Source organism: Homo sapiens, chromosome 3 (genome assembly GCF_000001405.40).
Source record: "Homo sapiens chromosome 3, GRCh38.p14 Primary Assembly".
Classification (NCBI taxonomy): Eukaryota; Metazoa; Chordata; class Mammalia; order Primates; family Hominidae; genus Homo; species Homo sapiens.
The window spans coordinates 179,169,529-179,197,205 of record NC_000003.12 but is presented as its reverse complement, the minus strand read 5'-3'; the positions used below and the strand labels follow the sequence as shown (position 1 = coordinate 179,197,205).

The following is a 27,677-nucleotide window of genomic DNA, read 5'->3' as shown; positions in this document are numbered from 1 at the left end:
TTAGCTGGGCGTGGTGGCATGCACCTGTAATCCCACCTACTCAGGAGGCTGAAGCAGGAGAATCACTTAAACCTGGGAGGCAGAGGTTGCAGTGAGCCGAGATCGCTCCACTGCACTCCAGTCTGGGCGACAGAGCGAGACTCCATCAAAAAACAAAGAAAAAAAAAAGATAAGCAAGAGTTGAACAAACACAACAAGAAAGAAGAGAGGAAACCTGCCATCCCTGACTCCTCTCTCCATCTCACACCAATCAACATCTAACCCATCAACAAGCTTCGTTAATTCTCTCTTTATTCTGTCTACATTCTTCAAATACCACTCTTAGTACCTTGGGCCGGCCATCAATATTTCTTGTCTGGACCACTGCAAAGGCCTAAATGGTCTCCCTGAATTGATGCCTGCCCCCTATAATCCACCTCCACCTCATAGCCAGTGTGACTTAAAGAGAGCAAGAGGGCCTAATTTGATTAGACATTTATGCTGTACCAATTCTTGGTTGCAAACAAATAATTATGGTATGCTTCAGAGTTATAACACACAAAGGATGTGAAGAGTAGGAATAGCAGAAATTATTAGCCTTTTTAGCCCCCACGAAAATACAGAAATTAACAGGAAACAATGAAGAATATAAGAAAAATATTTTTTGATAGTTGAAACTATTTTTCTTCAAACTTATAAAAGAGATCCACTGAAATTATAGAATTTAAAATAATTGTCCTTTTTCCTACATGTCAAAAATTTCATTGGCTAGTAAAAAGACCAGATGGATCAATCTGTATGAACAATTATAGAAGTGACTTAAATTTTTTTAAGCCTACAAAAAATCTGAAGAATGCAAGGGAAAACGCCAAATGACTACTTTTAAATGATGACATGCCTGCATAAAAAAGTTCAAATGAAAACAAAACCAAAACCACAAGCCACACAAAAACAGCAGCTGTGTTTATGATTTTTCTCTGCTGAATGGCACTGACAGGTCTCTATTATGGAACTACCAGAGCAACTATTTTATATAATAAATAACAACCCACAGGGAACCCTCATATGTTCCCTAAGTATTACCAAGAAAGAAACCTAGTTACTATAGTAGACAGATCACTGGTTTTATTCCTTATTCTACTGTAGTATATTTATGGGTAATTAACTATTAAATACTCAAGACACACCCTTTTCATTAAGAGAATAAATGTGATTATGGTAATAAAACACTTGTTGATCCTGGAAGGCAGGCACTGGTTGACATTCTGGTAGACAGAATGACAGCTTTTTTATTTGTCAGATGGTTTTTGTCTTCTCATGCCAGGCCTTATTCTGTACAAACCATTACCCCCAGGGTTCACATAAAGTGTAGAAGTGGCAAATGGAACTAACATTTGCTTTTTTAGTATGTACCATGTACATGGGTGGGCAGTAACACTTTTGAGGTAGATATTATCATTTTACATATGAGAAAACTGAAGATCAGAAGTGAAGTCACTTGCCTCCAATAAATGGATTTTGAATCCAGGTCTAGATTATTTTAAAGCCCATATTATAACCATGCTGTTATTTGGACTTCAGTTATGGCCAGGCAATATTCCCCAGTAGTGAATAAGAGAATGAGCTCTAATTTGAATCTACACTAGATTCAAATTTTGGCCCCCTTAGTCTATAGTTGTATGGCCTTGGGTAGTTTAATTTATCTCAATGAATCTCATTTTTCCCATTTGTGAAATTGGGATAATAATGGCATCTACTTCACTGGACTGTTGTGAAGATAGATGAAGTGATATATGAAAAATATGTAAGCACAGAGATCAGCACACAGCAAGCACCTAATAAATGTTAAACATTAGCAATAAACTTGTAAAGTATTGCCAACATTATCTTTTCAAGCTTATTAGGAATTATACAGTGCTGGCACCAGATGGGGAAGGAAACGGTTTTTGTTGTTGTTTTTTTTTTTCACCGAGAAGGCAAGTAAATAAGGAGCTTCATAAAGAAGTTAGATTTCAAGTGCTAATACCTGAAGGTGGCAAGGCTCACACACAAGCCTGGAAGAGTACTGAGTGGCTCAGATGCCGGTGCTTTCCCAGCTGCTTCCAGTTCCCCAGATTCCCAAGATTCCTATTGAAATGTTATAGCTATCTACAGCGTAGGTGTCAGGAATCCCTTGTTATCTGTCTCTACCCTGTGTTTTTTTTTTTTTTTTTTGAGAAGTACCTGCTTAATGTCAGGCTCTAGGCTAAGTATGGCACAAAAACAAAGGTTAAAAAGATGCCTTCCCTTCCACAGTTAAGGGTCTCATAGTTTACTGGGGAACGACTTTAACAATGTGATAACTGTTACAAGACAGAATATGAACAATGGAAAAGCCTGAGGAGATTAGGGAAGGCTTCAGAGAGGTAAAGTTTCAGTAGAATATTACAGATTAAAAATTTCACAGAAAGGGTATGGCCTGATGTAAGAGAGCCTATAGACAGGTGTTCTAGGTTGCCACAAGAGAGTGTGTATAAAGTCAGACCATGAAAGAATGCGGCCTGTTCCTAGCAATACAAGCTGTTTTTCATTACTTGAGTCTAAAGTGCATGGGAACAGGTGGAGTATGTGACAAAGAAGGAGAGGCAAAAGGTAGGTAGGGGCCAGATGTAAAACCATGTTAGAGTTTGAATTTTATGTTGTACACCGTTAGTAAAAAGGAGACTCTGGGCTGGGGGTTGTGGCTCACACCTGTAATCCCAGCACTTTGGGAGGCTGAGGCAGCAGGATCCCTTGAGCTGAGGAGTTCGAGACCAGCCTGGGCTCAAGACCCCATCTCTACAAAAAAACAAACAAATTAGCTAGGTGTGGTGGCACATGCCTATGGTCCCAGGTACTCAGGAGGCTGAGGTGGGAGGATCATTTTAGCCTGGGAGGTCAAGGCTGCAGCAAGCCGTGATGGCACCACTGCATTCCAGCCTGGGCAACAGAGCAAGACCCTGTCTCCAAAAAAAATAAAATAAAATAAATTCTCTGAAGTATTTTGAGCTAAAAATGACATGATGCTTTTAAAATGATTTTTAAATTCTCTCAGATTTCTTTAAAAATTGCTTTTCAAGTGTAGGTTATAATCAAATGAACATTAAAGTGTAAAAATTACATATTCTCAATTGTCTAGAGAAAAATCCCTAAAATTAAGAAATCAGAATATATAACATTTTAAATAAAAGGGCCTTTAGACTACAGAAAAAATTAAATACCAATAAAGAGGATGGGATTATTAAATTTAAAGCAATGGGGGGATAAATCACTATAAAATTATGAAATCATAATGTAGCTTGGAGGTTTGAGGTCACAGAATTAAAAATGTATTTACTAAAAATAAAACACTTTAAGGGTCAAGAAACCACTCTATTGAGGTTTTGAGTTCAGAATGCCAGGACTAAAGATTCATATGCATACTGACAAATCACTACTATCTGGAACTCTTAAGAGTAAATAAATTGGTTTTGCTTATCCTAATTTTCTACATATCGAAATAAGTTATTTCAATTTGAAGACTGTTCAAAATAGAGCAGTCCCATTTGCTTAGAAGAGTGTGTGTGCGTGTGCACAATTCACAATTTACCTTTTTGATGAATTATAGTCCTCATTACAAGCACCAATTACTGTGTTATATTAAAACACAAACAGCAAAACTCTTCAGGATTATTGAGAAATTTGGTGGAGACTTGGGGGTACATTTCTGGTCCTAAAACCAACAACCCCAGGTTGCTGAATGCCTCCCATTTCTTTGTTTTCTAGCAATCAATGGTCACTTCTCAGCGAAGGCCAACCTGCCTGATTACAGTAGCATCTCCTTCTTCTAGTCAGCATTGACATGTGACCACCATTTTACAAACTATAAACTAAAGGCCAACAGACCAAAAGATAATACAAGAGGCTCTGCTGTATGACCTTAGGAGCACAAAATATATGACAACAGATGCCTCGATCATCAGAGATTTTTGTTTACTTCTTGCTTCTGGTGTTAAAATTACTGTTAAAAGTTACTGTATTTAGGAAGGAAGTACTTAAAAATCTTTTGGTTCTCAGAAGGCCTGAACCTGTGTTAACTTGTTGGTATGGACTGGGTCTGCATCAGCAGTCCAACTGAGTAGACAGTACTACCCAGCAGAAGTAACGACGCCTTTAAGAACAACGTTAAGTAGCAGAAATAAAGAGTAAAAAACAGTATCAGATTCTCCATTGTCATTTGACTTTTATACTGGAAGGTTTCTTAATTCATTGGGCAATTCACTATTTTGAACACTTGATGTGTACTCTTTCAGACCAAGAAGACAATGACATCTTGACAGTTCGATTTTTAATCCCTAGATTGAAAGCCTTTCTATATTTACATTAGAACTCTATTTCTAGATTTCATTAGTTAAGGCAAGGGTCGTCAAAGCATGACCCACAGGCCAAATCCAACTCACCACTTGCTTTTGTAAATAAAGTTTTATTGGAACACAGGTAACAAACTGTGTTTACATAATGTCAACAATACTTTTGCACTGCAACAACAGAGTTGAGCAGATGCTATAGAGACCATATGGCCTGCAAAGCCTAAAATATTACTATCTGGCATCTTGCAGAAAAAAAGTTTGCTGATCCCTGTAATGTATTAGAATTACCTGGTATCAACCGCATAAGTGCCCAGTGGCTAAGAAGTTATCCCAAACCCTGCCTCTGCAAACTACAGTCCTATACAGTGTCAACCTAAGTTCTTTAAGCCCTTAAGTTAAAATCTTGAAATAGGAAAGTATCTCAGAAGTGATTTAAGTGGGTACTTTCATTGCTGGGAGCTTACTGCCTGACAGGGAACTTTTTGTGGAGTAATTCTGAAGTTATCCCTAAACATAGTTACTCCTAAATTATCTTGTTCATTCCCTCAGTTCCACTTTCTCTATCTCATCACATACTTGAAAGCTATTAGAATTTCCCCTGGGTCTTTTTCCACCAATTCCTTCAACCATAATTCAGGCAAGATAGTTTACCATCTCATTTTTGCCATCATTGGATATGCCCTTTTGCTAATATTCATCTCAAAATGTGGCAATGAAAATCTACTACAATATTCTGGAATCAGTATTTCCAAGGCAGAGTACAGAAAACTATTACTTGACTATGGATTACCAGTCTCTATAAATACAGCCTAAGATGTTTTCTGGCTTAACTACTTTAAAATATGCAGAAAGTATATTTTATATATTTCAGTTCAGGTTTCAATTTCAAAAGTGTATTATGTTTAAAATACTTATGTTTTTAGGCCAGGCGTGGTGGCTCATGCCTGTAATCCTAGCACTTTGGGAGGCTGAGGAGGGCAGATCACCTGAGGTCAAGAGTTTGAGACCAGCCTGGCTAACATGGTGAAACCCCGTCTCTACTAAAAATACAAAAATTAGCTGGGCCCTGGTGGCGGGAGCCTGTAATCCCAGCTACTTGGGAGGCTGAGGCAAGAGAATTGTTTGAACCTGGGAGGCAGAGGTTGCAGTGAGCCGAGACTGCGCCATTGCACTCTAGCCTGGGCAACAAGAGCGAAACTCCATCTCAAAAAACAAAACAAAACAAAACAAAACACCAAATACTTATGTTTTTAAAACATCGATATTGTACCTGCATTAAAAAGTCATTAAAAATAAGAAAGAAAGTTATTTTGAAGCATACCTCAGCACAATTGGCACAACTGGCAGCCTGAGCAATGCAAACAGCCACAATTTGCTAAAATAAGCAGCTTGTATTTTCTAGTTATTTATGTTCCACAAGTATAGAAGCTGTTTAAATGTTTGCTGAATGACCAACAGTTTGTAAAACAAGTTTTACCCATACTTTTAGATATATGTTCACAGAACATTTTCCACTCTCATTTTTGGATAGAGCCAACAGAAAAAAATAGTTTTGTGGCTAACTCAGTTACATCTCTTTATTTGCTCATGTTAGGGGTCAGGAAACTATACCCCAAAGTATGACACTTTGACATGATGAGTTCTTTGAACTAAAAAAGCAGCATCAGAACCAAGGTCTGACATTCCCCTGTACCTCTGTCTCTTCATCTTCTCTCCTCAAGTGAAGAAAGGGCTTTCTCTGAAGTTTCCCTTATCAAGACGGAAGTTCCTCCAGAAGGAATGGAATTGTGAACCCCATCTCTGGAATTTACATTAACTCCTATCACAGGAGAGGAGACTAGAGGTCCGCACACCCAAGACACCAGGCCCATACAGACTTTTCACCTATTCTTCTGAGGGCTACTATCTGAGAGACTTTATCCGCAGAGCAAGACAATTTTCGTTCACAGTACAGTTCTTCCCCTCACCCTCCAGGAGCCTTAAGCCCATATTTGTTTCTGTAGCTAAAAGTACTATTTAAGCTTCAGCCGTCTGGCCCTTATCTGAGTCTCATACTTTGTAGGACCCCTATGCATATGCATACGATACATTTACATGCCTTTTCTCCTGTTAATCTGTCTACTGTCAAGTTTATTTCTTGGACTCAAATACTGAGCCTCCAGAGGAGACAGAGACGGTTCTTTCACCCCCCTACAACCCATTAACGAGAGAGAGAGAGAAAAAAAAAGCTTTTCTGATTTTTAAATTACCAAATGAATCTTTAGTCTGATTTGGAACAGGAGAACAAAACTTCCCTCTACATTTGCTACAGAAACAACATGATTCAAATCTGGGTTAATAATTCAATGGTCTTATTACTGCAGTTGAAAGTTACTTTAAATATTTCTAGAGTCAGTTACTCCCTTTTTAAATGTTACCACAGCCTTTTATATGTATTTCTATAACTGTACCTCAACATACTCATTAAAATTATCTGTAGTCATGTTTGACCTCCTATTAGGCTATGAACTTTTTCAGGATAGGGTCTTTTATGCTGGGGGTGGTGGGGGGGGTGCACTATATATATAGTGCACTTTTTTTTATGCACTATAATCCTAGAGCATAGAAGAGCAGGTAGAAAAACTAAATTGTTGAAATTACTCTAGTGAAAATGTAACAAGGGCCTGAACAAAGCGAGGTAGCAGTAGAAATAGTAGGAAACGGATGGTTAAAGAAAAATCAAAAGCACTCAAGAGACCATTTGGATTTGAGGGCTAAGAAGCGTAATTTTAAACAAATTTTACTATAGTGGAGATGCACAGGAAGCAAGTATCCTTCAGTACAATTTTCTGGGCCCCAGTTAGGGCCTCTAAAATTCTCTTCCTCTAAGAGTCACTGAGCTGTTTCTGGAGTGAGTCCAAAGGGACAGCTGTAATATATACTAGCTCTGGAAGGATGCATATTATCCATTTCTTTCAAAGTGCCGTCCTTCACTGACCTTTAAAAGCTGGCCGTGAGAAAACAGATTTAACTCACACTTTTAGAGAGACTGAAAGACCTTTACAACTTCAGGGTGGAAAATCAAGTCCTCATCACTAGTATGCAAAAAATTTAAATTCCTTTAGTGAGGAACTGCAATTCATTTTCATTATCAAATTCATATTTACAGTGCTAAGAAACATGTTATAAAAATATATTTCAGAGATTTAATGCATTATATAAGACAAGGGTTTCCTAATATGAGGCCCATGAATGGGTTTAGAGAGGATCTGTGCTAACACATTTTTTTTTTAATGACAAATAATCAAGGCTTAGGTGAGTAGTATTTATAGCAATGTGGACTTCTGATTATCAGTAAATGTGACCAAGGTTGGGTTAAAAGAATCCAGTTTGAATAGCAGAATCAAATGTGGTAAAGAACCATTAATGAAGTATAGATTAATACTTGGATCTTAGATTATTAGATAAAGCATGAACTTTAAATTTTGTATTTTATAAAGAGAAACCATACCAGATACTGAAATGTGTAGTCACTTTATGTATCTTTTACATGAAGAGAGAAACAATCCTAAGGTATTTAAGTTTGGCAGCACTGTAAATATGAATTTAATCGTGAAAATGAACTTTTTCAATTTGAATTTTATTTTTTTATTTTTACTTTTTTTTTGAGATGGAGTCTTGCTGTGTCACGCAGGCTGGAGTGCAGTGGCATGATTTCGGCTCACTGCAACCTCTGTTTACGAGGTTCGAGCAATTCTCCTGCCTCAGCCTCCCGAGTAGCTGGGACTACAAGCATGTGCTACCATGCCCAGCTAACTTTTTTGTATTTTTAGTAGAGATGGGGTTTTGCCATGTTGGCCAGGCTGGTCTTGAACTCCTGACCTCAAGTGATCTGCCCACCTCATTCTCCCAAAGTCCTGGGATTACAGGTGTGAGCCACTGTGCCCAGCATACTTGAATTTTAAAAATTCAAATTTCAGCATGCAAAAGGACAAATTAAAGTTTCTTAAAATATAAGCTCAAAATGTGACTAAACATTAATAAAGGTGAAGGTGAGATAGGATTATGAGAAAAGGCAAATGTACTTAATGTGGAAAACGATATATATTTCATAATATACCATTTAATAGGATACAAATGATTCCACAGTGATAAAGAGTTTTCTACTAAATATTTTTCTTATTTAATTATTTTATTTCTTTCTTTCCTAGGAGGAAGGGAGTCAAGGCAGATTATCACAGTTTCACATAAAAGCAGCAGCAGGCAGTCAGAAGTAAACCATCACTCTCAGTTCCAGTGACCCTAAATCAGGTAACACTGAAAACTCTGTTTGCATTTTCACATCAAGAAGACTGTATTGGTAAATAATGATTTCAAAATACAGAACTAAAAGAATGACTACTATTCCAAATGGAAAAAAATATACTAACATTTGCCTTTGTTTTTCCAGTAGTACAATACTTGGTCTCCAATTCATTTATTCCTTTATATTAACCAACCCACCTTGTGACCAATGGCATGCACTGGTAAGACAGGTGGACAGAATTAGAGTGTCTCCTGGCCAAAGAAAAGGACAAAAGCTAATCAAACCACAAAGAGAGCCTAACTAGTGACTTGAGCTTTTACACATCTTTAGCAACACCTGTAGCAAATGAGTAACCAAGGAACCTGGAAACATTATGGAAATCTCCAGATTATTTAACATATAGTAGCAAAGAGAAGAATGTGTATTAACACAATCTAGTCCTGAGAAGAAATGGTCCAACCAGTAGTTTCGTTTTAGTTGAGATCAGTGCACCATCATCCTGAATTCCACTGACCCTAGGGAGAACTCTCCAATTCTTAAGTCTTCTTTGTAGGCTCATTTGAAGGCAGTTTCCTTATTTGCAAAAGGTGAATAAAAATAGTTACTATCTCACAGTAATGTTATAAGAATTAAATGAGGGTCGGGCATGGTGGCTCATGCCTATAATCCCAGCATTTTGGGAGGCCGAGGCGGGCGGATCACAAGGTCAGGAGATCGAGACCAGCCTGGCCAACATGGTGAAACCCCATCTCTACTAAAAATACAAAAAATTAGCCAGGCATGGTGGCGGGCGCCTGTAGTCCCAGCTACTCGGGCGACTGAGGCAGGAGAATAGCTTGAACCCGGGAGGTGGAGGTTGCAGTGAGCCGAGATGGTGCCACTGCACTCCACCCTGGGCGACAGAGCAAGACTCCATCCCAAAGAAAAACAAACAAAAGAATTAAATGAGATGGTATATGTAAAGTTCTCAGCATAGTGCTTGGAACACAGAAATTCAATAAAGGATCCGTTTCTCTCTTTTTTTTTTTTTTTTTTTTGAGGCGGAGTCTTGCTCTGTTGCCCAGGCTGGAGTGCAGTGGCGCGATCTCGGCTCACTGCAACCTCCACCTCCCGGGTTCAAGCAATTCTCCTGCCTCAGCCTCCTGAGTAGCTGGGACTACAGGCGCCCGCCACCACGCCCAGCTAATTTTTTTGTATTTTTAGTAGAGACGGGGTTTCACCGTGTTAGCCAGGATGGTCTCGATCTCCTGACCTCGTGATCCGCCCACCTCGGCCTCCCAAAGTGCTGGGATTACAGGTGTGAGCCACCGCACCCGGCCTCCCTTTCTCTTATCTACTGGATCAATGTTATCTAAATGCATGTGTCCAGAAAGGGAAACAGAACTTACTGTTTCAGGCTTGTTGTAAAGAGATGGTAGATATTATCTAGCTAGAACTCCTACACTTAGTAAAACACTATTTGGTTCACTGAAGCAACACTTAAAGGAAATTTGGTTATCATATAGAGGGTAATTTTTTAAATTAGGAAAAAAAAAACACTTCCCTTATAAAATGACTAAAAAATAGCATCTTTTGCATAAAGAGAGAAACAATCCTAAGGTATTTAAGTTTGCCAGCTGTATATCCATTTCAGGACCAACTGTATATACTGAAGACAGTGAAAATAGAAGTCTATGCACCTGGTTGCCTCAATGAAAATTTAACCAATGAGATCAATGAAGAGACCAACTTAGCAAGGAATCATGGTCTAATATAAAGGAAATGCAAAATACGGAAGGGTTCTTGAAATGTTACTGCGATTTCCTACTAAGCAAACATTTCAGCTCCTGTGGAACTCTAAGAGAAAAGGTCCTGATGGTTTAACTCTTTACAACAAGTTTATAACCAAACCTATATTGATGATAACCAAAAAAAATAGGGCTCATTGTCCTTCGTAATTCCCATTTACAAATGACTCACATCCCACATACTTCAGGAAGAAAATCCCTTTGTGACTTGGAACTTCAAAGATGATGCTAACCACACATTGTTCCATTCTTGATTGATGGATTTATTAAAGAAAAAAGTATAAAAGGGCTCTACTTTTCAACTTAAAGTCAATGTTAAAACCACCTCTCCTCTCTTTTTCTTCAAAAAGCCCAGGGCTTCACGAAAAGTAACTTCACTCTTTCTTGCCATAATGAAGCTAACACCATTCTGGACTTGGCTGACTTATAAAATAGTTGTTTCCTGGCTTCTTGTGAGCTAAAGAAAGAAACAAAAGGGTACATTATCCAGGGCTCAGCTTGTTGAGTTCATTAAGAGTTTAAGAATATCTAGATTAACATCTTAATTAAATTAAGAACATCTATGTGATATTGTGAAATACATATTTAGTCTCTGTCCTCTCTCCTGGCACACAGCTCCTAAATTCCTTGGAATCTCCAAAGTGGTAAGGGTCTTTCTGTATGCTAATGAGTTGACTGGTGGCTGGCAGCCCCTAGGTTGCTTCAGGATGAGGGCTGGTCACCAGAAAAACCAAGGCAAGATTAAAGAACTGGGGCTTTTAGTCCTACCCCTACCTCCACCCCCTACCCACCTCCTCAGAGGAGAGAGGGGCTGAAGGTTAAGCTGATCACCAATGGCCAATTATTTAATCAATCATGCTACTTAATGAAGTTTCCATAAAAATCCAAAAAGGACTGAGTTCGAGGACCTTCTGGATAGCTGAACAAGTGGAGGTTCCTGGAAGGTGGTGTGTCCACAGAGGGCACAGAAGCTCCACACCCCTTCCCACAAGCCCTGCCCTATGCATCTTCTTCATCTATATCCTTTGTAGTATTCTTTATAATAAACCGAGAAATGTATTTCCCTGAGTTCTATGAGCTGCTCTATCAAATTAATCAAACCCAAGGAGGGGGTCATGGGAACGCTGATTTATAGCCAGTCAGTCAGAAGCACAAGTAAAACAACCTGAAGCTTATGACTGCCATTGGAAATGGATGGCAGTCTTGTGACTGAGCCCTCAATCTATGGGATCTGATGCTATCTCTAGGCAGATAGTGTCAGAACTGAATTGAATTACAGGATACTCAACTGCTGTCTATTGAAGAATCTGCGGCAGAATCAACTGACTGATTGTTGGTGGGGAGAAATCCCCATATACTTCTTGGCGACCAGCAGTTACAGAAGTCTTCTGTGTTGATTATTGTAGTGTGAGAGCAGAGGAAAAATGGTTTATTTCTACAGAATCTAGAAAAAGGTAATATTAGCAATATGTCTTTCAAATCACTTGACCTGATTCTTTTAAAGATCTGTAAGAAGCTGAAGGCAAGATGTTTCTGTAAGTCATCAGGGATTAGAACTTCTCCCCCCTGAAGTTTATCAAATGGCTTCTGCTCTTTTGTTTTTATGTTTCTTTCTAGTATAGCTCAATGACTTAATAGGCCTTTCTGTGGCTCTGAACACCTCAACAACTTTCTTTCAAGTCTTTCCACTACTATGGGTGAGAGTGGATAACTTCTTGGAAAACAGTTGCTACACACTGTTCCCACAGTCTTTCTTCATCAAAAATCAACGGCTAGCTTATTTCCTTATATCATGGGGTGAGGACATAATTTAGTCACCATAGGGACTTGTATTCAAGTACTATCCCTTCTAGTGATACTCTTTAGTATTTAGATAAATTAAAACTTGCCTGCATCTCACTGATTAGCCCTATTGTCTTGAGAATGAAGAAGAGATGAGTCTTTCATACCAAACTTTTAAAGTGCTGCCATCATAAAGTGAAACTTGGGTTAGCTACAGGTTTCTTGGTAGAACCAATTGTTCTATCTTCCTTAAATATAACAGTCGGTATCCACAGAGGGGAAAAAATCCCCACCAAAATGCCTAAACAGAAGATTTTCAGTCTAGGCTGGTCCAATAAATAAAGCTATCAACTTTGGGGACACCAGCAGATACAATATATTCACCTAATTGCATCCACATATGTTTCACAGAAGGTCTTTTTGCTTTGGACTATTATTTTCATTTTTGACCAATTCAACATTCCAAACTTAACAGATTTATCTGTACTGTCTGTCAGAAGGCCAAAGTGATCTGGAGGGGAGAGAACCAGGGACTAATGATAAAGCTTCATCATGGTCTACTGTCTTCTGTAGAGTTCTCTATTTCCTGAGACCAAGTGTCATAAAACTGTAGCTATGGTGTCTGTTGACTATGATTACATACTCCCAGGCACAAATAATAAGCAAAGCAGATATTAGTATGTCATTGTCCTAGCTGGCTGTTGCAAGGACAATATTTTCAAAATCAAATGACACTGTCTGGACTGTGCTGCTGTGATCGTGGTGGTGATTCTGCCAATACTTATAGGCTAAGGAGAAGGTGTAAATGGACTCCACCAATTTGCTTTGCAGCAGGAAAACAGCCTGCTGGTAAGTGAATCAAATAAAAAGATTAGCTTAAAAATATGGAATACTTCTTGAATGTGTCTATCAATTTTGCACAGGGAGGGGCAATGCTCGTCTTCTGTCGTCCTCCTAATTTTAGTAGTATGTGCTGTGAAAATAGGCACTAGCCAATAATCTTCTACCAAAAATACTAGAAGGACCTTGCTTTTAGTTTAATTCCTGCCAAGACACAGGCCCTAATGGCTTCCATTACATAATTATGCATCAGTTAACACAGTGTCATAAAACATATTTTAGTTCCCAAAGTATTTAATATACAACAAGGATTAGACACTGGAAAAAGTCTGGCTCTAGATGTACTGAGTATCCTTGTTTGCCATATAAATACTTAGGTCCCTGACATTTTTGTCTAGTTATTTATCTATCCTTGCTATTATCTTTTTGTCCACATCACAACCTCAGCCTATGTCCTTGGACTGATTTCCTTTCTTAGGAGCTATTATAGTAATCTCTTATTCTTTCCTCTTATACCATATTGATATATTATTGGTATTCTTACAAATAGATATAAAGCACAGAATGTATAGTGCACTGAAATTTTATTGCACTTAAGGTGATCACTTAATGTCTATTCTTAACCTGCTCATTTCAAATGCCAAATTTATTGGTCAAAACAACTTTTTCCTGGCTCTACATAAATTAATCAGATAAATCCATAAACAGCTTCTTGCAAAAATAATACATTTTCTTCCAACTATACTCTAATGAACGTAAGATATTGTATTTTTTTAAGTGAATACACCCCAAGTCTATCTGGGATGTTACGACATTGGATGAAAGACATGATATACAGTAAAAATTTGATTTAAATAACAATGCTTTTTCCATGATAAAGACCAAACAATAACTTTATATCCTGATGTAATTGGTTGCCATCTGCCCCATTTTCTGGCAATAACAAAATATCCTAGTATTATGTTAGTAATAATGAAAATGTCCATTGCAAGCAATTATTGACTAATAGTGATTTATCATCCTTCAGTATTTGATCTCTGGCAAAAGGGCTATTTCACAACAGGAAAGCTTGAAGTAATAACTTTGGCAAGCAAAGAAACTCAGATCTCCCAGAAGTGCAATCAGAGAGAGGGTAGCTTAATTTCAGCACAAGTGTCACCTAGCTAAGATGTGAAGACAAGTTCTATGAATGAAAGCAACAACAATGTGAAGTCATGTAAGCACAGATTTCTAAAAAATCCATCTTTTCGATAATACAATACAGCCAAAATACTTCAATGGTGGGAGAGAAATATTAGTAAGTGGTCTTTATTTTCCCTTTCAAGCATTTACTATTTATTTATACTTATGTACAGTTCAATGTACCAAGTATCTTGGAAATTATAATTACTATACCTTAAAAAGCAAGCAATGAGAATGACAAACTGAAATGGGTATAACTGTGTAAAAGCAGCAACATACATGATCAGTGAGTAGAATATTACCCTTTTTTTTTGAGACAGGGTCTCTCTCAGTTATCCAGGCTGGAGTACAGTGCTACGAACACGGCTCACTACAGCCCCAACCCCAGGCTCAAGCAATTCTCCTGCCTCAGCTTCACGAGTAGCTAGGAACTAGGACTACCTGTGTGTGCTACCATGCCCAGCTAAATTTTTTTTAATGCAGAGATGGGGTCTCGCCATGTTGCCCAGGCTGATCTTGAACTCCTGGGCTCTGGTGATCTTTCTGCCTCTGACTTTCAAAGTGCTGGGATTAGAGGCATGAGTCATAGCACCCAGCCAATACTGCCACTCTTATTCACTGATGCTCTGTATGACATTAGTTAACCACCCAAGGCATGCAGTTAAACAATAAATTACTTACAATGATTTAATACATTAAAATGCTTCTTTATAAAGCTTATCAACTGACAAAAACTTTTAAACTGGCTATTTAACATAAGTCATTAAAAGCTGTCAATTATTCCAAACAACTGCTTCACATGTTATGATTCATGAGCTAACTTCTGCTGACATTAAAATAAAGGCACAGAGGAAGACGTAAGAAAGTTTGAAAAAGGGAACTTTAAGATCTAAAACTTTAAGCCGTCACTAGGGAGTAAAGAGGTAATTCAGGAAAGGGAACGACTGAAGAGATTAAAGTGAAGAGAAATGGGAAAGTTTTTAGGTTGGACAGAGATACCGTAAAGGACAACTCTTTTGTGTATGTGCCCAATAATTATAATTACAGAGATAAATATGTGATGGAGTATCCTGACATGGTAAAAATTCAGAGTGAGAGCATCTAGTACTATGGTATATAAAGAAGACATTCAAACCTCTATTTCTTAAATTACAAGACTTTAAAGGTTAAAATAAAACTAGAATATAATCTTTGAACTTCACCTAGCTGATACTCTTTTGATAGGTGCTTTATGGTGTATGTGACTATGATTTAGTAGACTTATACTAATTTTGAGGAACATAAGGAAAAAAGGCAGAGAAAATATGTTTAATTATCTCCACTGTCAATATTGGAAGTTAGAAATTTAACTTCTGACATAAACCCCTCAAAATAATGAAGTATTAAAAAAATAAAATTATGGGTCCTATTTCTATTGCATAATTCACAGAATTAAAACAATTAGTTAATTTGTTTAAAAAATCTACTTTCCCATCTAGAATCAGCTAATTAAGATGTGCTTGGTTTCTTTGTTACAACTGGGTTTATAATACTAGTGTTCTTACCCATCACTAGTCTACTCACAATAGTATCATTAGCACTAAGATCTAAATAACAGTGCCGTATTTATGACTGCACTTTAGTTTCCACAAAAGCAAAATTCTGAGAACAGCATGAGTCATTATCCCTAGGGTAAAAAAAAAATAATGTTTCTTTGGTCAGAATATGAAACTTATTGCTGATACCAGTAATTTAGTCTAGAAATTCCTTTTCTGAATAAAAGGAACAGAATGTTTCTTTTCTCTATTCACACACTCCAAAACTAACAGAACTGTCCATCTGTCTGCTTTTACTACTCTCCATATCTGGTGTGTGGTGACAGAAAAACAACCTTTAATCTAGCTATTTTCAGTACTGCTCTTTTGTTCTTCTGTTCTCTCAGTTTGTCTTTTTGCCAGGACAAAACACACAAATACACACACATAGAGACACACACACTCTCTCCGACCTTTCTCTTCCTAGTGGGGTATTTATGACAAAATCATGCATTAATACACAGAGAACATTCTAAACATGGATATGTATATCCATAATGTTAAATGTTAAACAGTTCTCAGGTTCACATTTTATATTTCATCTTAAAACATCTTCATTAATTAAAAGTTACAAAGGTAAAGAAATACTGATGTTATTATTTAATTAAAGTGTGTCCCCCCAAATTTCCTCAATAGAATGTTGAAATGATCTCTGTTGTTTTTATGGCCTCCTTTAATTGTTTCATTTGTTGGTACCTCTTACTCTGCTCATTATTCAAATGTGGAATACATTCTTCATGACATCACCACTTTCTCAATCTCCAAGGTTAAAACATTTGGTGCTTTCAACTCCTCTCTTGCATGACATCACTTCCACCCCTTAAATTACCCTCAAATTCATCACCTTTTTTTTTCAATCTTCTCTATCACTATTAGACCCTAAAAGAGTTCTCATATGCAGGACTGATCTGTCTCTAATTCAACAAGCATTCATTAAGCAATTACCTTCTATTAAGACACTAGCAGCTGAAGCAAAGGGATGGGTGATGGAAAGGAAAGGAGGAGAAAAACACTCATACAAGTATATAAATGAAGTATATAAATGAGGTTGAAAAGACCTTATTATCTAACAATCTACAAGGCAGAACGTGGTAATTTTAGGAGAAAGTGGGCCTGATTTCTGACAGGTACAGAATGAGAAGAGTGCAACAGGTTAAGTAGACAGTATGAACTAAGACAAGAGGCCCTGAAAGCACAAAGTATCCAATTTCTCCCCACCCACTTCATTATCTACAGTGTCACTAGAATTGGCTATCTAAAAACATATATCTAATTACACCATTACTCAATTAAGACAATATTGTGGATCTCTAGTAACTATGCAATACAGCCTTGACTCAAGCCTCAAACATTACAACTGTGCTCTTCTCTTATTTTTCCCACACTCCAAGCTCTAATCTTACTAGATCAATCTTTTCCCTTTACAGTTTTTTGCCTTTGTAAATATGCTCCATAATCTTTTACCTCATATTCACATTTATTGCCATTTTAATCATACTCATCCTTTAAATTCAGCCCAAGTAGCTTCTGTAAAGTCCCTTCACAGTCTTATTAAACTTGGCTGATAATTCCAGATGAACTTTTGAATATTTTGCTAAATTCAAAAACAAAAATCAAGGCAAAACTTCTTGTTATTTTGAGAACAGGGAGAACTGACATCTTTACAAGATGTTTTTCCTATCCAAATATGTATTTGGATAGGAATGTCATTGGATTTCAATGTTTCTCAGTAGTTAATTTTTCAAATTGAACTATAGTTAACATACAACGAACTCTGCACATCTTAAGCATTAAGTTTGATGACTTTTGACAACTTCTTACACCCACGTAACCACTGCACAAAACAAGATATATAATATACATTTCTATTATCCTAGAACATTCTGTCATGCTCTTTTCCAATTAATTTCTCTCTCTGCCCCCAGGCAATCACATTTTGGTTTCTGTAATTATAGATTAGTTTTGCTGAGTCTTAACTTTACATAAATTGAATCACAGTGTATACTCTTGTATTTGGCTTCTTTTGGTTAACATACTGTCAGGTACAGAATGAGAAGAGTGCAACAGGTTGGGATTCATCAATGTTTTAATGTATTAGTGGTTAGTTCTTTTTAAGTAGTATTCCAAAATATACTACAGCTTGTTTATACAATTTCCAGTTGTTGAATATGTGGGCTGTTTCCAGCATCGGCTATCAAAATTCCTACATCAATTTTTGTTATACTTAGCAAAATGCTAGGTTGTAAACTTGCAGAAAAGAGTTAATATTCTTATGCTTATCCTTAAAAAAGCCTGTTTGCAAGGCTGGCTTGGTGTCTGGGAACTTGGATCTTGGATTTTAGGAGGATTCCTACCCTGATTCCCATCTGATAAGACTGGCTCCATGTGTCTAAAGCATTTATGATAACAATATGGTTTATGCTTAATACCTGCTTTCCTTTGGGAGTCTGGAATTTGGGTGTGCGCTGAGCAGAGGGTATGATCAGACCCCGGTAAAAGCCCTGGGCACTGAATCTGTAGCGAACTTCCCTGGCTGGTTAGATTTCACAAGTATTGTCACAGCTCTTTGCTGGGGGAATTAAGTGTGTCTTGTGAGACTCTACGGAAGAGGATTGTTGGAAGCTTGTACCTGGTCTCCCCTGGATTTTGCCCCATTCACCTTTTCCCTTTGCTGACTGTGCTTTGTGTCTTTTCATTGTAGTAAGTGATAGAGCCATGAGTACGACATCATGCTGAGTCCTGTGAGTTGTCCTAGCGAACCATGGAACCTAGGGATGATTCTGGGAACCTCCTGACACATTAGGTAAATGTTATGTTTAACTTTATAAGAAATAGTTCTTATATTCCCACCAGCAATAAGTTAGAATTCCAGTTGGTCTATATCATAACTATTCAGTAGTATCAGTCACTTTTATTTCAGCTATTCTAGTGGGTATCTCATGATGGTTTGAATTTGTAGTGGTATCTTATCATGGTTTTAATTTGCATTTACTGATGACTAATAATGATGGTGGAAATCTTTTCATGTGCTTATTGGCCATTTGTATATCTTCTGTGAAATGTCTGCTCGAGTCTTTTGCCCATTTTTATATTAAGTAGTTCATAATTTTTTAAATGTTAATTTCTGAGTTTTTTTTTTTTTTTTTTTGATCTTTAGAGACAAGGTCGCACTTGGTCACCCAGGCTGGAGTGCAGTGGCATGATCATAGCTTACTACAGCCTCAAGCTCCTGAATAGCTGGGACTATAGGCACATGCCTCCATGCCTAGCTAACTTCAAAAAAAAAAAAACACAAAAAAAAACCCAAACACTTTTTTTTTTTTTTTTTTGTAAAGACAGAATCTTGTTTCACTATGTTACCAGGCTGGTCTTGAACTCCTAGCTTTAAATGATCCTCCCACCTTGGCCTCCCAGAGCACTGGGATTAAAGGTGTAAACCACCACACCTGGCCTTCAGAGGTTCTTTATATATTCTGATACACATCTTTAATCCCTTGTAAATGCTGGGAATTTCTGTTTTTTTAACTCATTCTGTGGCTTGTCTATTCATTTTCTTAATGCTGTCTTTTGATGAGCAAAAACTATGAATAAGACCTATTCATCAAATTTTCTTTTGAGATTAGTGCTGTGTCCTGTCCAACAAATCCTTGCTCAGTTTTAAAAGATTTCTTCATGTAAGCTCTGCTATGGTTTAAGTTTATTTCTAGATAAGTGATCTTTTTGTTAATTTTCTGAATGGGTTTTTCTCTTCCACTATACTTTATAATTAGTTATTGTTCAGATAAAGAAAAACTATAGCCTGGGCGTGGTGGCTCATGCCTGTAATTCCAGCACTTTGGGAGGCCAAGGCGGGCGGATCACCTGAGATCAGGAGTTTGAGACCAGCCTGACCAACATGATGAAACCCCATCTCTACTAAAAATTCAAAAATTAGCTGGGTGTGGTGGCAGATGCCTGTAATCCCAGCTACTCAGGAGGCTGAGGCAGGAGAATCACTTGAAACGAGGAGGCGGAGGTTGCAGTGAGTGGAGACCAGGCCACTGCACGCCAGCCTGGGCGACAGAGTGAGACTCCATCTCAAAAAAAAAAAAAAAAAAGAAAAGAGAATATTAATGCTATAATACCAAGATGCCACACAGAAAAAGATGGATAAATCTCACTAAATAAAAGTCAAAGATTCTGGTCTATCAAAAGTACCATAAACCAAAATGAATGACCACTGGCAAACTGGAAAAGCACCTGCAACACATACGACAAAGGGCTAATTTCTGTAATTTACAAATAGTTCAGGCAAGTCAATAAGAATTTTAAAAGGCTATAAATACAAAGTTTTCAGAAAAAGAAATTTAAGTAGCCAACTAACCTAAGAAAATATTTAAAAATGCAAATAAAAACAAAAATGTATCCCCATTTTTAAACCTACCATACTGAAAAAAACAAGTTTGATGAAACCTAGTAACTGCAAAGACAGCTCTCTCAGATTGTTGGTAGGAATGTAAACTTTCTGGGAGACAGTCTGACAATATGATTCAAATTTTAAATACACTTATTCTTAGATTAGGCAACCCCACTACTGGGAACTTATTATATGGATGTCTTTGTAAAAATTCACCCAAAAGTAAGCCAAACAATATTCATTGCAACAATATTCATGAAAGCAAAAACTAGAAACCACCAAAATCTTCATCAATAGGAAGATGATTACATAAATTATAATAAAGCATTTTATGGAGTACTATATAGCTGATAATATCAATGATATAGACTTGTAGGTACTGACATGAAAAGATCTCCAAGATGTAGCAAAGTCGTGAAGGAACAGCTGCAAAATAGTTTATAAAAAAGGGGTAGAATACACTTCGGATCTTAAAATATCAGAGTACAGACCTTTGTGTCACCAATCATTTCTAAACAAGGAGAATGAGAAAAACTCTTTTTTTGATGAAGCTGGAAAACTGTAACCCTAAACCATAATATACAAAGACAGGGAGAAAAAACAAACAACAAACAAAAACCTCACCAGAGGTGAGGAATGTTAAATTTAAGTGCCTAAAGAAGCCAGTCAATTCTCATGAAACCCCATTAAGTTCAGGACTAGGAGGTTCCTGGAACTACTGGAATTCCAGGTCTCCAACTCCAGTTGGTGTACTCAGTGACTTCCCAATCATGCAGAAATCAGAAGGCATAATTTCTGGAAAAACTAAACTCAAGATGCTTTGGACTTCAATAGATACAGAAGTAGATATGACTAAAACCAGAAGATTATGTGCAACTCTAAAGAGACCCAAAGTCCCTTTCTTCAGTATTTCTCTAAAACATAAGCAGCCCCCACAGAGAAGACTATAGATTTCCTCTGGAAAGGATTCAAAACTAGAGAAAACAAAACTAACCTAAAGAAAAATTGTGATATGAAGATTTCCTACAGCATAGTTTACCAATAGACAAGAGCTCTGACTTCACACCCAGAGCTTTCGGTCAGCTTTTCACATCTTTTAAATATAAATGACCACTGAGGATCTTCATGCATTTGAGGAATGTCTCCAATATTAAAGATTGAGACCAAAATGAAACAGAAGTGGTGAGAAACAGAGAATGATGGGACAGAGGAAAATGTCAAAGAAACTGTAAAGATAAAAGACTGCATCCTTATGCAGAGGAACCAATAAGACCAGAGAATAAGAACTGAAAAAAAAAAAAAATCAACAAATGTTTGAAGTTAAAGTTAAGGCAATTTTCCAGAAGGCAGAATAAAAAGAAAGGGATGAGTAAGAGGAGGGAATGGTAAAAATTTAGAAAAACAATCTAGGAAGTGTAGTATCTGGCTAGTAGGAGTTCCAGAGAGAATAATGAAAACAAAGGAGAGGGAACTACCAAAAAAGGCAAGGATACTTCCGAGAAGAATGTAAGTCTGCAAGCAGCAGGGACTTACGGAGTACACAGCACAACAGATAAACGATGCACACCAAGGTACCATACCATAAAATGAAGAGAAGAGATTAATCACTTCCAGACAGAGAGAAAAAAGAATAAATAAAAAATCAGGAAACAGAGTGGCACTTAGAACTCTAGCAAAATTGAAAGCTGGAAGATACCAGAGCAATATCTGGGTAAAAATGATTTTCAATCTAGCATTCTACACTCACTTAAAATATCACATAATTGTAGGAGTAGAATAACACATATTCAGGTATGTAAAATCTCAAAAAAATTACCTCCCAGTTATCTCTCTTCAAGATGCCACGAGAGGATAAGCTCCTATAGAATGAGGTAGTCAACCATGAAGGTATGGGGCATAGGAGGAATCAATGCTTCAACACAGGAAGCAGGTGTAGGGAATTTCCAGGATGAAGACAAAAAAGAGTCTTGAGATAACAGCTGTGAAACAGACCTAGCAAGCAATCAAGATTAAATCAGAAATACTGAAGGCTCTATGAAGGATATTATAGGAAAATAACCAAACTAATTATCACATGTGAGAGTTATTGCAAAGATGGATTGAAGCCCATGGAAAGACAAATTCAGACACAATGGTAACTAAGCAGATTTCTGAGATGAAGCAATTAATTAAAAAACAACAAGAAAGTTGTAACAGAAAAAATATAACCCCATGTAGCATTTGCTTTATTACTATATGGTCATTGAATAATGAAATAACTAAATGTGGATTTAACCAGTAATGATTAAATATAGGATGATGAGATAAGGCAAAGGAAGATATGAGCATTAAAATTATAAGAGAAAACTAATGAATAATGTCAAATATTGGTGGACCAAGACAGAGCAATATACCCCATTATTATAAGGTGGCAAATACCAGAAGTAGTAGCTTAAATAGTTGAAAGTGGTTTCCTGAAGCATGACATGAGACAAGACAAAGTTGTGAGAGGGAATGGGGGGGAAGTGAGATACAGTAATGAACTGATGTTTTGTTTGTTTCTGAGATGGAGTCTAGCTCTGCTGCTCAGGCTAGAGAGTGCAGTGGCACAATCTCGGCTCACTGCAACCTCCGCCTCCCAGGTTCAAGCTATTCTCCTGCCTTAGCCTCCCGAGAGCTGGGATTACAGGTGCTTGCCACCATGCCCAGCTAATTTTTTTGTATTTTTAGTAGAGACAGGGTTTCGCTGTGTTGGCCAGGCTGGTCTCGAACTCCTGACCTCATGACCCGCCCACCTCAGCCTCCCAAAGTGCTGGGATTACAGGCATGAGCCACCATGCTCGGCCTGATGTTTTTATTAACCTTTCAGTTGTAATTTGAAAATAATATGCATGTATTACTTTATTTTAGCTTTACCTGAGGTATAAATTAAAATTCAGTTTGATGAGTCTTGGTGAATGTATAGTTGTAAAAACCACCACTACAACCAAGTTTTAAAACACTTCCGGGCCGGGCGCAATGGGTCACGCCTGTAATCCCAGCACTTCGGGAGGCCGAGGCGGGTGGATCACCTGAGGTCAGGAGTTTGAGACCAGCCTGGCCAATATAGCGAAACCCTGTCTCTACTAAAAATACAAAAAATTAGCCAGGTGTGGTGGCAGGGGCCTGTAATCCCAGCTACTTGGGAGGCTGAGGCAGAAGAATCACTTGAACCAGGGAGGCGGAGGTTGCAGTGTGCCGAGATTGTGCCATTGCACTCTAGCCTGGGCAACAAGAGTGAAACTCCACCTCTAAACAAAAACAAAAAAACACTGCCAAAACCCACCTCTACAAGTTTTCTTCCTTTGTTGTCAATACACCACGTAGGTAATTACTGGGGTAAGAACTGAAGTTTAGGTCTATGAACCATCAATCCATTTTTAATAAATTTTTTGTTATTCTAGCACTTTTTTTTTTGAGATGGAGTCTCCCTCTGTCACCCAGGCTGGAGTGCAGTGGCACGATATAGGCTCACTGCAAGCTCCGCCTCCCGGATTCCTGCCATTCCCCTGCCTCAGCCTCCCGAGTAGCTGGGACTACAGGCGCCCGCCACCACACCTGGCTAAGTTTTTTTTTTTTTTTTTTTTTTTTGTATTTTTAGCAGAGACGGGGTTTCACTGTGTGTTAGCCAGGATGGTCTCGATCTCCTGACCTCGTGATCAACCCGCCTCAGCCTCCCAAAGTGCTGGGATTACAGGCGTGAGCTACCGCGCCCGGCCTTTCTTTTTTTTGAAAAGACTATTCTTTTCCCATTGAATTACCTTGGCACCTTTGTTGAAAATCAGTTACCACATAAATAATACCTAACCAAGTTTATTTATGTGTTTTTATTAACAAATAAGGTAACATATAATATACAAAGCAAAAATGTTCAATAAAAAGAAAATTATTATAAATGTTACATTTCATTAAATCACGGGAAAAAGATCTATAGGATATACCAATTGTCCAAAATAAGAAATTAATTGAAAAATATTACTATATTAAGAATTACTCTTTCTAGATTTTCAAATCTCTTTCATCCATCTATATGTCTATCCTTATGCTAATACTGTACTATTTTGATTATTGTAGCTTTATAGCAAGTACAAATCAGGTACTTGTAAGTGTTCAGATTTTATAGTTTTTATGTGTGGTTATGTTTTTTGCACTTCCATATAAATTTTAAAACCAGCCTGTCAATTTCTATGAGAAAATCTGACAAGATTTTGACTGGGACTGCACTGAACATAGTGTACCAATTCATGAATATAGTGTACCTCTCAATTAACTTAGTTCTTCTTTAACTTCCATCAACAATATTTTGTAGTGTTCAGTGTACAGGTTTGTGTATCTATTCTTATTACTAAGTATTTAGCTATGCAATACTACTGTAAATGGTTTTTTAATTTCATTTTTGGATGGTTCATTGCTAGTGTTTAGAAATATAATTAATTCCTGTTTGTTATCTTTTACTCTACAGCCTTGCCTAAGTCACTTGTTAGTTCTAGTATTTTTTTTTTTTCTTTTTGGTAGATTCTTTAGAACTTTCTGTATAAATGCCATCTATTTGGTTTTACTTCTTCCTTTCCATTCCAAATATCCTTTAAATTTCTTTTTCTTGCCTTACTGCATTAGCTAGGACCTCCAGGATAATGCTGAATAAAAGCAGTAAGAGCAAACATCCTTGCCTTGTTCTTCATCTTAAGTGGAAAACTATAAAATCATTCACCATGAAGTATGATTTTTTTTTTCACAGACATTCTTTATCAGGTTGAGGAAGTTGCCTTCAATTCCTAGCTTGCTAAGAGTTTTTATTATAATTTGTATTGAATTTTGTCAAATACTTTTCTGCATCTATTGAGATGATCACTTTTTTTTCAAATATATCTTATTAGTATGGTATATTACACAGAATTGATATTTCTAAGTTAAGTGAGCCTTGCATTGCTGGGATAAATCCTACTTGACCATGATTATAGTATTATCCTTTTAAATATAATATTGCTAATTAAACATGCTAATATTTTGCTAAGGATTTTTGTGTCTACATTTATGAGGAATACTGGCTGCTAGTTTTCTTTTCTTGGGATGCCTTTGTGTTGGCTTTGGTATCTAGTAATACTGTCCTCATAAAATGAATTGTGATGCTCTCCTCCCTCCTGCTTTTCTGAAAATGTGGTTGGGACTTGTATTTTTTTCTTCCTTTGGTGTCTGACAGAATTACTAGCTATGCCATTAAAGCCCAGATTTTCTTTATTGGAAGTTTTAAACTACTAATTCAATTTATTTACTCTATATAGGTCTATTTAGATTTTCTACTTCTTTTGGAGTCAGTTTTGGTAATTAGTATCTTTCAAAGAATTTGTTCATTTCATCTAAGTTGCCAAATTGGTTGTTGTAAACTTGTTCATAATATTCCTTTATCTTTTTAGTATTTATAGTATCTGTAGTAATACCCATTCTTTCATTCTCAGTATTTCTAATTTACATCCCTTCTTGTTCATTTTAGCTAAAGATTTACTGAACTCTTTAAAGAACCAGCTTTTGATTTCCTTGATTTCTGTTCTGATCTTTATTACTCCCTTTCTTCTACTTACTTTGGTACACTTTACTCTTTCTTTTCTAGCTTCTTAAGGTAGTAGCTTAGATAATTGACTTTTTAACCTTTCTTCCTTTCTGGCATAAGCATTTAAAGCCAAACATTTCTTTCTTAGCACTGCCTGAGAGCTACATACCAAATATTTTCTTACATTTTGTGTTCATTTTCACTCAGTTAAAAATATTTTCTATTTTGCCCAGTGAATTCTTTTTTCACCCATGGGTTACTCAGAAATAGTATTCATTTGCACATATTTGGGGATTTTACTTATTTCTTCCTTATTTCTCTCCATGATTTTTAATTCCTTTGTAGTTGCAAAACATACCATATAATTTCAATTCTTCCATATTTATTAAAACATTTCATTTTTGTGGGCCAGTATACTATTCACCCTGGCTAATGTTACCAATGCACTTTAGAATAATGTGTTTTCTACTGTTGTTGGGTATTCTGCAGATGTCAATTAGATTGAGTTGGCTGATTGCTTTATTCCTGTCTTCTGTATCCTGTTTTCTGTTTACTTATCCTATCAACTGTTGAGAGAAGAGTATTAAAATCTCCAACTCTTCTAAATATTGAATTGCCTATTTCATCTCTCAGTTCTATCAATCTTTGTTTCATGCATTTTGTGCCTCTCTTAAGTGCATATACATTTAGAATTTTTATATTTTCCTGCCATATTTGTCACTTCATAATTTTGAAATGTTCCTCTTTATCTCTAATAATACTCCTTTTCTTACAATCTATTTTGGCTGACATTAACACAGTTACTCCAGTATTTTGATGCCTGTTTTCTGAAGAAGGAAATCATCCAACCTCCTCACACTGTCCTTACTGGAAGATACATTTATTTTGATGATAAAAATTAAACAAAAATTTAAAAGGGGAATATAATTTATAGGTTCAGAAGATATTTAAAATGAAAGCATGTTTATCACACTTTTATACTAATACAATTAAAAATCTGTGTTAAAAAGCATATATGAACAAACGTATTTCTATATCCCCTCCAATGTCCCCCACTAGAATTCACTCCGTTACCAACATTGGCTTCACTTTGGGGAGAATGTGAGTGAGTGGTCAGGAGAAACTGATACAGGAAATTAAAATTTGCGAATATGTCTTCTCCTTTATATTACTTTTTTCCCTTACAAAAGCAAGGCAAAAAAATAGCTATTGATTGTTTCTTGAATTATTCGTAATATGAATGACAATGCGAGTCTTTCATTATTAAGCCTGACTGAAGCTTCTAGTTTGGTATATCTATTACTTAGTACGTCAAAGAATAGCTTTCTATCCCTATTTTACTAAGGTCGTGTGTGTGTGTGTGTGTGTGTGCGCGCGCGCGTGTGCACGCGCATGTGCATGTCTGTGCTGGAGAAAGGAAGAGGGAGGGAGGAAGGGAGGCAGGGAAAGAGAGAGAATTAATGTCTGTTACAGATTTCCTAAGATTAAAATGACCTTTGTATTTCCAGAATAAATGCCATTTGGCTATGGTATGTGTGTGTGTTTTAACAAACTACTGAATCTGCTAATATTTTATTTAAGATAACTAATACTTTAAGTGAGATTGGCTTGCAGTTTTTTTGTATGTGTGTAATGTCTATGTCCACCTCTAAAACAGAGTAAGAAGTATTATAACAGCTTTTAATATACTGAATGTTTGAAAGAAGAGTAATGAGAAGGGGCTAGCCTAAGTAGGTATTAAATCCTTAGTTATAAAAATAGAATAGTATTGGCCCATGCAGATCCAGAGAACAGAACTGAGTTCAGAAACAAACTTAAGTACAATAGTTGCTGCAATTTTGTATAGGGAAAAACCCCAGAACCTTAATTAGGACAGATTATTTAATAGACGGTCCTGGTAGAATTGATTAGTCACGTGA

General features: G+C 36.9%; 1 protein-coding gene across 2 annotated transcripts in view, besides 2 other annotated features; it reads right to left on the bottom strand.

Moving 5' to 3' along the window:
* PIK3CA (phosphatidylinositol-4,5-bisphosphate 3-kinase catalytic subunit alpha) overlaps nucleotides 1-27,677 on the bottom strand; it is a 91,968-nt gene that overhangs the window by 42,888 nt on the left and 21,403 nt on the right. The gene's annotated exons all lie outside the window — the stretch shown is intronic.
* Nucleotides 9,600-9,824: a silencer, noted in NCBI's record as "fragment chr3:178905170-178905394 (GRCh37/hg19 assembly coordinates)". NCBI's record gives its function as "represses an EF-1alpha promoter that drives an FKBP-Casp9 reporter gene in an ReSE screen in K562 erythroleukemia cells {active_cell/tissue: K562}" and the evidence as "EXISTENCE:reporter gene assay evidence [ECO:0000049][PMID:32094911]".
* Nucleotides 22,573-22,652: a silencer, noted in NCBI's record as "silent region_14913". NCBI's record gives its function as "represses an Ori minimal core promoter by ATAC-STARR-seq in GM12878 lymphoblastoid cells {active_cell/tissue: GM12878}" and the evidence as "EXISTENCE:reporter gene assay evidence [ECO:0000049][PMID:35858748]".